This window comes from Homo sapiens, chromosome 15, assembly GCF_000001405.40.
Source record: "Homo sapiens chromosome 15, GRCh38.p14 Primary Assembly".
Lineage (NCBI taxonomy): Eukaryota > Metazoa > Chordata > Mammalia > Primates > Hominidae > Homo > Homo sapiens.
The window spans coordinates 47,459,422-47,473,192 of NC_000015.10; the positions used below are offsets into that span (position 1 = coordinate 47,459,422).

The 13,771-nt window shown below is 38.9% G+C and overlaps 1 protein-coding gene across 1 annotated transcript in view; it reads left to right on the forward strand.

Annotated features, from left to right (window-relative positions):
* SEMA6D (semaphorin 6D) overlaps positions 1-13,771 on the forward strand; it is a 590,140-nt gene that overhangs the window by 275,333 nt on the left and 301,036 nt on the right. The window contains exon 3 of the mRNA NM_001198999.2: positions 11,053-11,124. The gene's annotated coding sequence lies outside the window, so the exon portion shown is untranslated. The remainder of the gene's footprint in view (positions 1-11,052; positions 11,125-13,771) is intronic.

Consider the following 13,771-nt stretch of genomic DNA (forward strand, 5'->3'; position numbering starts at 1 on the left):
CATGTGACATATTTTGTAGACTGACTTGCAGATGGCTTGATTATTGAATGCAGGATCATCTGAGAGAAAGAGGAGAATCAAGAAAAACCTAGCTTGGTTTTGCACTGGGTGGTGGTGACTTACTAAACAAGACAGACCACGGAGAAACAGATGAAGGGAAGTAACAGTGGAAATCAAAAATTCTGTATTGACTACACTAAATTTGAGGTGTTTACAATATCCATAAGTGGAAATATTTAAAATTAAAAACTTTTATAATAACCTCAAAACAAACAATAGGTTTTCTCCCCTCTTTCCCCTGCAGCTTTGCACTTAAACCAATATTAAATTCTTAAGAATTTCTGGTGGAGAGTCTATTAAATTCTACTTAAAAAGATTTCATCTCTGGGTGATAACAAAGATAACTATCTGGGGAAAAATGTGGAGTAGTGCAGAGTGTTTAAAATATACTGTATTTGGTTCTTCTACTTCAATTTCCTAAATAACACATGAATTTATTAAATAAAATCCATTCTTGAAAATCAATTCCACTAACTCCTCCATTGACCTTTTAAGCTCTTTAGATCCCCGTATTCAAATCCCCAAGTCAGGGAGTTTCAAAATCTTACATACAAACTTAAAAAAAAATGCCTATTTTCTAGGTTTTATTAAGGCATAGCTAGGTGAGGTTAAAGTCATCTAATTAGCCATCCCACCACTGTGTCTCTTCATTTGCAACATTCTGACACTCAGCTATGGCGAGGAATTCTCCTCCTGTGAATTCTCAGAAATTATTTAGAAATTATTTAGAATCTAATTTTTATGCCCAGGGAGCTCAGTAAGAAGGAGTCAGTCTCATTACTGCTTATCAGAAATTACTTTTTGTCTCAAGTCTTCTTTACCCTGAAAAGCCAATTTTGATAAGAAGTGAAGATTTAAGCCAACAAGAAGGGGCAAATCATTGCAAGCAGTGATCAATGAAGTTGGGTTAGCCAGGCTTATTTAGAGTAGTCCGAGAAATCATCTTGCTGATGACCAAATCTTACAAAATGATGAGTACCCGACTCTCAATGTGCTTTGAAAGCACTGAAGGGAAATCATATATCTGCTATGATTAAAAACTACATCATGATGCTGTGTGCTTGAGGACAGTGTATAAGAAGGAAGAAAGACAGCTGGAAATCAGTGATTCATTAGTGTTAGGTGTTAATGTAATTGTGAATGTTTTTCTTTGTCTTCCAACCTTTTGTGCAGATAATATTGTGAAAGGGGAATGAGGAGTATTTAAACATATTGCAAAAATTTCCTAATTTTTATTTAAACTATAATAGAATCATCAAACTGGGTGAACAAACAAATCCCAGTTTTGGTAAATGTTATAGATTTGGTAAACGTTGCTTATAAGTAACTGAGATGTTTCTTACCAATAAGCACTTTAACATAAAACAGCAGATTTAATGACCCGGAAATTAACTCAACTAACTATGCCTTGATCTTGTGAAATTACTGTTGGTATTTGCCCTAAACAGGCATGCTGGGTCCTGTCTGTGGCTCACAAGTCCCCAGATGGTGTGACTCCTGCCTACTTCCTCTTCCTGCTTCCTCCAGCCACTTCCTCTCTCTCACTCTGCCCAGCCCTCCTGACCTTCTTTTTGCTCCTTGAGCAAGCTCATTTCTATGCCAATGCGTTTGTACTTGCTCTTGTCTCAGCCCAGACCACTCTCTGCTTGGTCTTCGCATCACTGCCTTTATTTGATTCTTACTTCAAACATGACTTTCTCAGAGAAGCCTTTGGTGACCACATTGCCTAAAATAATGGCATCCCCACCTGCACCTCATCATCTCATCACACTGTCATTATTCCACATGCAGAAACCTTGCACTCTGAAATTGCCTTTATTCATTAGACTACTTCTTCATTGTCTCCCCACAGCCACTGCCACACACACACTCTTGAATGTATGCTGCATAAATACACAGACCTTGTGCTTTCTCCCCCACTATTATATCTGAAGCACTGGAAACATCACCTAGCATAAAGGAGTCATCTGTAATATTTGTTGGACAAATGATTAAGTTGAATCTAGTAGACCAAGAATCTGAGGTTTGTCCATCAGAGTTAAATTTCATGGTTATTACACATAGCATAGAACAGTATTTCCGTCATTAAAAATAATATTAATAATAATAATGCCCATAGCAATTTTTTAAATTGGTAAAGTGAGGTGTATAGGATGTTCGGGAAAAGCTTCATCTTGGAAATTTAATTGCTTTCTGCTCTTCAATGAGTCATTCTATTTGGAATGGAAAATCTAGTCCTCATATGTTAATTTATTTAAGAGGGATGAGCTAAGAGCAATACAAACCGACAGATAGTCCCAAAGGGATAAATTCATAAGATTAGAACTTGAAGGGCAAATTTGTAAAATGTGTGAAGAATGTATATGTTTCTGCTTGTATATTCATATTTATACTGGGATGAAAGAACAATGTTACCTCCCAGTGTGCCCAGGTCCAAGTCAATGCATACCAAGGTTTGATCCTGCCACATGAGTAAGATAGGCCTGGTGTATTACCAGAAAATACTGAATATTTCATAAAGTTACTATTTGGTGATTCTAGATACTGATGTTTTTCTCCTTTTACATCCTGTTAGCGTGATTCATTTCAAATCTTGGTACTACCATGGAGTTTTTCCAGACCACGCCAGTGTGATATACTCTTCCCATTTTTCTGACATCCTGTAGCAATTATTGGTAATTAAATGTGGCCTGCCTTTTGCTATTTTTGTTGTCTTGAACTCTTACTTGGGGTTCTTTTTGTTTTGATTGTTTGGGGCTATTATTTAAAATTTAAGTCATTATGACTCGTTTCACCAACAAGATTTTTAATGCAGGGATGATGCTTTTAACCTTTTGTGCTTTCCACAGGTCCCAGCACAGTGCCTTACATAGCAGGCAAGCACTACATATGTTGCCTCACCAGCAATTCTGGAAGGCAAATGCTTCATGTATCCCAAATGACCCATCTCGGCCTCTCTCTTCTCAGACGGGAACTATATAGGTTTTTTTTTAGGAAACTGAACCTCCTTCCTACAGCCCTTTTGAATATTGATCTGGAGTGATGCTGTTGCTACCCTGGACATAAACGTATTTCTTGTTTCCCTGCCATCAGAGATTAAATCGTTGACTGTAATGAACTAGAGTTAAAACTACTAGGTTCTTCGGATTTTCAGATAGAAACAAAAACACATTAGTTGTGGTGGTTTGTTGTTATTGTTTTTTTCCTGTTTCTGTGAGCCATAGCGAATTGTGATTACTCTGTTCACAATGAATAGATAAAAGGCCTTCTCTTTTTCATTATTAAGGTTAGGCAAGAGTGCAGGTAATTTTATCTCATAAAGATTACTTAATTCACCTTGGGTGAGGGGAGAAGGGCTGAAATAAAGCTAAAACCTGTTCTGCAAGAACCCAGCCTTTATGGCTCTGTTTGTCCTAGTCTGGCTTATAATTCATTAGATCTCTTAGCAAAACAGATGTCATTGAAAGAGGCACATGGACAGAGAGAAAATGCCTGACCATAAAGAGACGTAGCTACAAGACCAATTCAATGATGAACTTGGATATGGAAAGGACTTTTTAAAAAAAATGAAGAAAAGGATCTTCAGTAAGTAAATAAGACTACCTCAGTTTCCTGAAGGAATAGCAGCAATCCATGATAACAGTAACAAAAACAACCAGGATCTAAATCCACCTAGTTTTTCATTTTGGTGCAATATTTTCAATTGCAAGCTGGGTTCCACAGTGAACTCTGCATGAAGCTTGTAATTTTCCCCTAGAAATATTTTTCAAGCCTTCAGCGGCCCTAGAATGTTCAAGCTGGTCCTTCACAGTTATCCACATACATGCACCCTTTTCTTCACAATTCAAAACTTTCTTCTCCATAAATCCTTTGCTGATCATCTCTGCCCATGACAAGTTCTCTTGACTCAATTCGTATAGCCCTGACTGCATATATGTCTCCTTTAAATCTTAACACATGCAGTACATTTGCATTTACAAAGGAAAATAGGCTCAAACGCCAAAGTTTCTCAACCCTTTGCAATGTATTTCCAAAGAAAAGGTGGTGGCAGCTGAAGCACATGTGTGCGTCATGGTAGGCCTAAGAGTTGTAGAGTGTGTTGATAGTATGTCGGGGGAATCCCCGTGGGGCCCAAAGGGAACACACCTTAAAGTTGGACAAACTTAGATCTGAAACATGTCTTTTGTAGTTTACTGTGCGACTGTATTAGTTTCCTGTGGCTGCTGTGACCAGTTGTCAGATAGTTGGTGGTTTAAAACATAACTTTATTCTCTCCCAGTTCTGGAGGCCAGAAGTCTGAAATCAAGGTGTCCACAGAGCTGCACTCCTTCTAAAGGCTTTAGGGAGAACCCATTCCTTGCCTCTTCCAGCTTCTGGTGTCTCCAGTCATACTTTGGCTTGTGGCTGCGTTACTCCAATCTTCACCTCTGTGGTCACCTTGCCACCTCCTCTCCTGTATGTCTTCTCTTTCGTTTATCTGTCCCCCAGACTCCCTCTGCCTCTCTCTCATAAGGATACATACACATGATTGCCTTTAGGGCCCACCTGGATAATGCAGAATGGGCTCATCCCCTTTTTAAATTTACTCATTCACATATTTTGCTATATAAGGTAATATTCACAGGTTTCAGGGGTTATGATCTGGACATATCTTTTGGGGGGCTGCCATTCAACCCATGTAGTGACCTTAAGAAGAGATTTTAACTTTTTTTTAGCTACAATCCCTCATCAGTAAGATAAGGTTAATAAACTTTTATTGTCAGGCAGTTAGGAGGAATAAAGTAAAATATATTTTCCATGTTAAGTATGTGTTGCAGGATCATGTAGGGTAAAAAGTCTTTCTCTGGATGCTATTGTAATAAATTCAGCCCCTGCAGCACCCCCACCATAGAGGTGTCTCATATGTGCTCGTTAAGAAAAGGCACCCATCCTGCTTCAGGTGCCTTTGGTGATACCCATTGTCTCTGCCTCATGCCGAACCACTGCCACCAGTGTCCAGTCCATGCCAAGGACTCCTGATGCTCCCAGATCAGCCAACAGTGTATTCCACATCTGGGCCTGGCTTTTGCTCTTATAAGATGGTTGGTTTGAGGAGGTGCCAGTATGCAGGCATGGTAGCTAATTCCCTGCCACCACTGTGGTGTGACTGATTTAGTCAAGCCCTCAAGGAGCTAAAATTTTATTGAATTATTTATAGTCCTCCATGTGCACAAACCACCCTGCACCCTTGTCAAAATGGAAAGACTCTCTCTCTCTAACCTTTTAATTTAAATACCTCTTAATGGATGAGTACCATATGTTAATATATGAGTCCATACAAAGTTAGGTCAGAACACAAATCAAAGTGACAGTCCCATGGATTGCTCCACCCCACTGATAAAAGGCACTGTCATGGACCAAGTGGGGGTTTGCCTGAATTTACTCTATTAAGAGACTCTTAAGTTTCTTCTGCAAATAATCAGGTAATTTCACAAGTTTGCCATATATGTATGAATCCCAGTGATAAATTAAAGTGAGCCTCAAGCTAGAATACTCTGTTTCTCTCCTGTTACACCTCCTGGCCCTCCCTGACTCCCCTCACCACTCACAGATACACAACAACTAAATGTGCCTTGCACAGCACCTAGAACATAGTAGGTACTCGATAAACACAAGATCGTCTTCTGTCTTGTACTCACAGTGCTTTGAACACAGCAGGTAGTCAGTAGATGCATTTTGACCAATGTGTATCTGGATTTGTAATGTGTAAGAAATATTGAAACATTCCTCATAAAATTTCAATCATTTCTATTTGGCCTCTAACTCTAACCTCTTTCACTATTAATTGGTTCTTAATAATAAGCCCCTAAATATAGATGTTTGTACAAGAAGAAGTGGGCAAATAGTTGTCCGCATCCCAGTTAAAATTCTTATTGCCTAGACTTAGCTTTGCAACATTGCTAGGTGGCTAAATTATTGCATAACTTATAAAGGGGAAAGGTTTCTGACTTTATGTTCTAAACGCAGTTGATATGGTTTGGATTTGTGTCCCCACCCAAATCTCAAGTCCAATTGTAATCCCCCGTGTTGGAGGAGGGGCCTGGTGGGAAGGGATTGGATTGTGGGGGCGGACTTTTTCCTTGCTGGTGTCATGATAGTGAGTTTTCATGAGATCTGGTTGTTTACAAGTGCATAGCACCTCCTCCTTCTCTCTCTTCCTCCTTCTCCTGCCATGTAAGATGTGCCTCCTTTCTCTTTGCCTTCTACCATGATTGTAAGCTTCCTAAGGCCTCCCCAGCCATGCTTCCTGTATAGACTGCAGACCTGAGTCAGTTAAACCTCTTTTCATTCTAAATTACCCAGTCTCATGTAGTTCTTTATAGCAATGCGAAAATGGACTAATTCACCAGTAAAGGGTCTTGCCAATTCTGCAATAATATTACCTATTGGTTTCCTCCAGGGAACTTGACATGCTTTTCTGATATCAAAATGTTCATATTTGTAACTTTTCATAGAAAAGATAAAGAAAATAATGTGTTTTTATTTTCTCCCAGCTTTATAGGTGGTATAATTGACAAATAAAAATTGTATGTATTCAAGGTATGCAAAATGATTTGATGTACATATATATTGTGAAATAATTACAATCAAGCAAATTAAGATGTTCATCACCTCACATAGTTACCATTTTTTTCTGTGTGTGGTAAGCACACTTCAGATGTACTGTATATGCAAATGACAAGGATGCAATACATTATTATTAACTGTAGTTTCCATGTTGTATATTGGATGTTCAGAACTTAGTTCATTTTATAACTGAAATTTTGTACCCTTTGACAAAAATCCCTCCATTACTCCCACCCTCTAGCCTGTAGCACCCACTTTTCTACTCTGTTTCCATAGGTTAGGCTTCTTTAGTTTCTACCTATAGGTGAGATCATGCAGTATTTGTCTTTCTGTGTTTGGCTTGTTTCACTTAGCATAATGTCCTCAAAGTTCATTCATGTTGACACAAATGGCTAATTTTCCTTTTGTTAAGGGCTGAGTAATATATTCCATTGTAAATATTTATCAAATTTTCTTTATCCAGTCATCTCCTGGTGAACACTTATGTTGTTTTCATATCTTGGCTATTGTGAATAATGCTACAAGAATGTGGGAGTGCACATATCTCTTTAATGTATCATTAATAATTTCATTTCCTTTGAATATATACCGAGAAGTGGAATTGCTAGACTGTATGGCAGTTCTGTTTTTAGGTGTGTGGTTTTTTTTTTTTTTGGAAATGGAGTCTTGCTCTGTCTTCCAGGCTCACCAGCTTAGAGGAGTGATCTCGGCTCACTGCAACCTCCACCTCCCAGGTTCAAGTGATTCTCCTGCCTCAGCCTCCCTAGTAGCTGGGATTATAGGAGTGTAGCACCACGCCTGGCTTTTTTTTTTTTTTTTGTAGCAGAAGTGAGGTTTCACCATGTTGGCCAGGCTGATCTCAAACTCCTGACCTCAAATGATCTACCGACCTTGGCCTGCCAAAGTGCTGGGATTACAGGCATGAGCTACTGCACCCAGCCTATTTTTAGTTTTTTTGAGGTACCTTGACACCTTTTTCATAATGGTTGTACCAATTTAAAATTCCACTAACAGTATATAAGGGTTCCCTTTTCTTCACAAGGATAATAATTTTTGTTCTTGTTTAGAAATGAGAACATGAAGACCTGGAAAACTGTGAGTTATCCATATCAATGTAAAAGGCTTGTGCCCTCCCTGCTACAAGGCTGAGATCATTTTAGAAGTGATATGCCAAGTTTCCAAGCATTTATTGTAATTTATGTTTCATAGACCAGTTATCATTCCCCACCCTGGAAATCACTGTGGATTGACACACTCCGGGTCTGGTTGGGGCCAAGGAAATTAAAGTAATTATGATGTAAACATGTCGGTATTAATGCTAATGCTTGCTAGAAGAGGCAATGTAGAGAAGGTAGATTGACATAAGGCCATATACCCTGTGTATTCTCATTTAATGTTTAAAGGCTGAATATGCAAGAATGTTGGCAAATTTCTGGAAACTAACTACTGGAAAATGTTAGCTAAATGGTAGATTGAGAAGTAGAGGAAGGGATGGAAAAAAAGCTGTTGAATTAGGGATAACTTTGCAAGCGCTGACTTAGGTGCTTGCGAAATGGAAGTGGAGCTGTTTCTCTCTTTTTTACACATCATGGCATTTTGCTAGGGATTAACTCATTGTCTCTTTTCTTTCCCTGCCAGGATGCTAAGAGATCATTGATATAGTTCTTTATCACTGTCGTAATTATTTCTGTAAGACCTACACCGGCAGCATCGGTGCCATTTAGTAAATGTGCCTGCTCCATTAGGAAGCAGAAAGAAGACCAGTTTGAACTCCTTCCCCTACTAGTAATGTGATCTGGAAAAATTGTCTTTAATTTTACGGCCTTAGTGTTTCCCCTCATCTGTAGCATAAAAATTATATTATAATAATATTATAATACCGACAGGATTGTTTTGAGACAGTTAATGTCACAGTGCTTGGTGAAGCATAGGCCAATACATATGTTATGTAAATAATGGTCTTATGCCACTGATTGTCACTTATTGCACTAGATTTGACTGCCTTCTTGTTGGAAATACAGTACAATCAAGAAAATTAGCAACTTCAACCTTGTTTCTAATTTAAATATATGTTACTGTGTGTTTGTGTGCGGGTGTGTGTGTGTGTATGTGTGTTCATACCTATGTTTCTTCATCATTGAAAATGCAGTTACAGCTGAAAGTGATTTCCATTATTGGCATTTTCTCATGATAGCAGAATTTATCCTGAATTAACAGCATTAGCAGAAATGGAGACTGTTTCAACCACTGCAATCGAAGAAGTGGTAAAATGGTGTGGAAACAAGTGTCTGAGCACTAGCTCTGCAGGGAAACAGGCAATGAGGAGCAAGAATTGTCCTACTCATGGTACTCAGTATAAGTGGGTGAAAGCTCGGCTCTGAGAAAGGACACAAGTCACCAAGGGCCATGGTCAGCCATGGTGGCTAACCTCAGAAGAGGCAGTTGTAGATATGAAGTGAGCTGTGTTACGTGGAGCGAGTTCACAGCAAAGGGGGAGTTATCAAGAGCAGCTGACCCAATACCTTCCGAAAGATCACCTGCTTATCAAAACCCTTTATTTTACATATTTTGCTGTTGACAGGCTGTGCAATTATTAAAGCGGCACTTTTCCTTACTTATCTTCTACAGAAAAGATCAATAAAGCACAGATTGAATTGTTAATATCCAATATCCAGGTTTGAATAGTACAGATAAAATTGCCCACAACTGTTAGACACTCAGGCTAAAGGGAGTAGCCCTTCCCCTGGGCTGCATTCGCTTACCCTCATCAACACACTAGGAAGCCATTCAGAATGATTTCCAAGACCAATTCCTCCTATTCCACCCTGTCTAGACTTTCTTGGAATGTTTTATGTAGAAAGTCCTGGATTTTCCTTTTCATTGGCCCCTGAACTCTTGAGGTCTCTGGGTACGGAAAGTCTGTCACTGCCAAATTTCCTGTCAGCATAATTTCTTACCTGTTTTAAGTAAATAACCCATCTTTTCTGAACTCAATGGCATAGTGAGTAGTGGGAGCTGTCTGCCCAGAGGAAGGAGTATTTTATCACTGACATGATTGAGAATTATCAGTGCAAGGTGATGATAAAAAGCAAATCAACTTTTAATTGAACTTTATTATGATTTTAAAACTCTTAACAGGCAGTGCACCCCCTTATTGCCCCAACCAGGGGCGGATTTCCTGCCTTGGAATGCCTGAGGACAGTTGCTTTAAGGTGTGTGTGTGTGTGTGTGTGTGTGTATGTGCACGCATGTGCGTGTGTGTGTGTGTGTGTGTGTTTAGTGGGGGGAGGACTTCAAAATTGTCTTCAGTTTTTTTCATTTTCCTTTTCTTTTTGAGAAATGTTAAGAAATCAGGACACTTCAACCTGTTCAGTTATATATGCAGTAAGTATTCCCAGAGTACTGTTAGATTAACAACTCCAGATATTAGAATTACAATAATAGGCAAGCCCTGTTTCATGCCCATCAGTAGCTCAGACATTTAAACATCCTCCAGATTCTCCAGAAAGTGTTTATTTGCTCATCTATTGTAAAAGTATTTATCAAATACCTATCATATGCCATGTACTTTGCTGGATATTGGAGATAAAATTAACAAAGACATCCTTGACTCTGTCTTCATTTAGCTTCCAATCTCCCAGGTATGCTTACCTCCCTTCTTCATGAAAATTCTATTTCCCAAACTCAGTCACTTATTACTACTTTTAAGATCTTTTGTATGTTGATATATTAAAAGTGTTATTATTTACTTAAGATTTACTTTACTCCCACTTAAGTTGAAAACCATTTTATAAGGAAATACTTTATTTCTCCTCTCAGAAAAGTGTGCACATGATTATAAACTCCACGAGACTTTGTATACTAATCACAACTTGCTCCTCACAGTGTCCTGCAGATGGTAAATAGAAGACATATAAATACAAATGCAATGAAAAAAAAAACCCTATTAATAAATTCTAGTTGAATCTTGTCTACCAATACCCAAATTAGTTAAAAGAGAGATTAGTACAGTTTAGAGACATACTTTAACCAAAATAAGACTTTTCCCATGAACTAATTGTAATTATTGGAAAGGAAATAACTTTGCTACGGTGTGCCTTGGTGTTACTTTATTCCATGTCCTTGTTCCACCTAATGGTCTTGCTTACCTACAATAACCATGCCATATGTTTTGTCAGGCCCTGGTCAGCACTGTTGGATTACTTATTAAGTTTTGCATGGAGAAATCTTTTTGATTGAAGGCCTAGAATTGCTTATATCAACTGGAATTATGAACCTAATTCCAATTTATTTTCTCTTTTTTTAGTAGTCTGTAGGTGACACATTTTCACAGCATTTGTAGCTATCCCAATATATTTTTGTTCTTTTTTTTTCTATTTACTGTAGAATGCGTAATCCTGGATCTCTTGTTCGCAAATCGACAGCCTGAAGCCCTCTGGAAGCCCAAGACTGCTGGAGGTAAGGCATGAACTTTTTTGCAATTATGTCTCTTCTGCATGGAATGATACTGCTGTTTGATTTAAGTTTGAACTTGGAAGATTCATTCCTTTAGGGAAATATTTAACCTAATCTTGATTTTTGCCTCAAATTGGCATTAGACGAGCTTGACTAAGTGGTCAGGTTGGGTTAGCTTTACAGATTGGATTCTTGATTTAATACAGCTCAAACTACAAGTATTATTATTATTATCTAAACCCTCTTTGCCAATTTAGAAAAAAATATAATAGGAGGAGAATAAAGATAAATAATAAAAGCACTGCCCAAGCACACCGTTTGAATCATAACCTGGGTCAGTGAGTTGCATGCCATACACTGACAGTCCTTTGTGGGGTGTTCCCAAATTTTATTCAATGTAAAGTGTGTTCTTTTCATAACCAAATGTGTACACTGTAATGGCCTTGTCTGTTAAGCAGCCACACAGGAAGGCAAGTTGCATGATGCCTATAGATGGAAATACTCCAAATTATGATCAAGTGATGGGAGAAGCAGCAGCCAAGTGCCAGAGAGAGTCTGTGAGTGGACATGTGGCTGCTGTTCCTCATGAATGTTGGTGGGAGCAGGGCCAGGGCAGTCGACAATTCTACGCACACAGTGACACGGCATTGGGTGACTGAGTGGACTTCATTGTGACTTTGCTTTTATAGACTCTGAGACACTGACGCACTGTCCTAGTCATTGTGTTGAAATCATTGCTGACTCTTAGTGATGTTTTCAGTTTGTTCATCTCCATAAATATATCTTCAAGATTCTGGTATGTTTCAAACTCCCACTTTCCCCCCCAGAAATGGGTCTTTCTGATTCAGGATTCACCTTCTGTCATAAGTCATACTTTCTTAATTGTTACTTTTTGAAATCAAGTTATGATATACACCTTGCTTAAACATTCAACTCCTTCAGTAATTTTCTTGATATTTTCAGCCTTTAAGTCCTACACAATCTGTCGTAAAGACTGCTGCTCTGGCAGACATGAGCCTTTATGATTTCTGTCTCCTGTGAGGGTCTGCACCTACTGAAAGGTTGATTCTCTGAGAAAGGCTGAATTACCATGAGATGGCAGTAGAGAGCAGCCTGGCAGATAAGCCCATATTCCTTGGTATTTGAGCCAGACTAGGGGCTGGGCCTAGTGGGAGGAGCTAGATTACAAGGTAGTCTGCTTTTGATTTTTAAGTGTCTTCCTGGGAAGAGAGCGAGGCATGTCTATGAAAGAAAATGCCGGTAGTAACATCTGAGGTTAACAAATGTGTGTCAGGAGAATGGAAGACAATTCCTGAAATATACCAACCTCCGGTGATCAGAGTTCTACCTGGCTGTGCTCTTTCTCTCTCTCTCTCTCTCTCTCTCTCTCACACACACACACACACACACACACACACACACACACACACACGAAAAAGAGAAAGAGAGAGAGGGAAGGGGGAAGGGGATGGAGGGAGAGAAAAGAGAATAGATAGAGGACACAAATACTTTATCCTTGGAAAGCAAGGTTAAGTGAGATCAGCAAAACGCAAGAAGGCAATTGTGACTGATAGGAGCCACGCAGGACAGCTGAAGTTTGAGACCATATTACCTTGGCTTTGCCATTTCGATTCTCAAAGGGGCCAAAGTGCTGCCGGATTAGACACTAGCATGGGCTCTAAATCCTGTGTATTTTAATAGCCCCTATTGTACAGAGAAATAAGAAAAAGTTAAAGATGGATGGCATTTTTAAAACGGTTGCCCAGAATGTGCCATGTCTTGCTTAAGTCACTTATTGCACTACTGGCAGTATTAGAATTAGAACCAAGTCCACATGCCCTAATTATCGGTAGGCCATGCTTTCCAAATCACAAGAGCAGGAGCAATTTATTTTTCTCTCAAACAGAAAAGATATTAAAAGGGAATTCAAAATGACCCTAGAACTCTATTGGAGGAATGTGGATGCCTCCATGTAGTAGAAGGAACATGGGGCTTTGTGGCCAAAGAGAACTGGTATCAAATCTTGCCTCCATCTCTTATAATCTATGTGGCATTAATCTTGTGGTTTGTGTATCTTAATTTCTTCTGAGCTTTAGAAGAAATCAATAACATATTAAAAATATCAAAAATATCAATAAAAATACCAATAACATTGATATAAAAAGTAGAATTGAGGATTAAATGAGATACACATATATAAAGGAGAGATAGGTGAAGACTGAATCCTGAAATTGTTCAATGTGGAAAATATTGATTTGATTTTTGGAACTGGATTCTGAAGTCTAAGGTAGGAGGTAGAATCACTTTTTTTGGGTTGAAGATGCTTTTGTTCTGTCAAGGACTACTTGCCTGGTTGCTTATAGTTATGCAGATAATAGAGCAAATGACACCCATTTTTCTGGAGAAAGACAGTGCCAATGTTTTGTGTAGTACCTGCCATTTGAAACTGTAACTGTGATAAGTTAGACAGCACTCTGCTCTCCAAAGAGTCATGGGAACTTCCTGGAAAAGAGACATTCAGACTCTACGTCTTCTCTAGGGTCAGTCTGAGGAAAAGAAAATGCTTTGCTAATCCTTTGGACAGCCGTGAGACTGGGGACATAGATGAGAGGAGGAGGCAGACAGGCCTCCCTGGAAAGGAGTGGCAGCC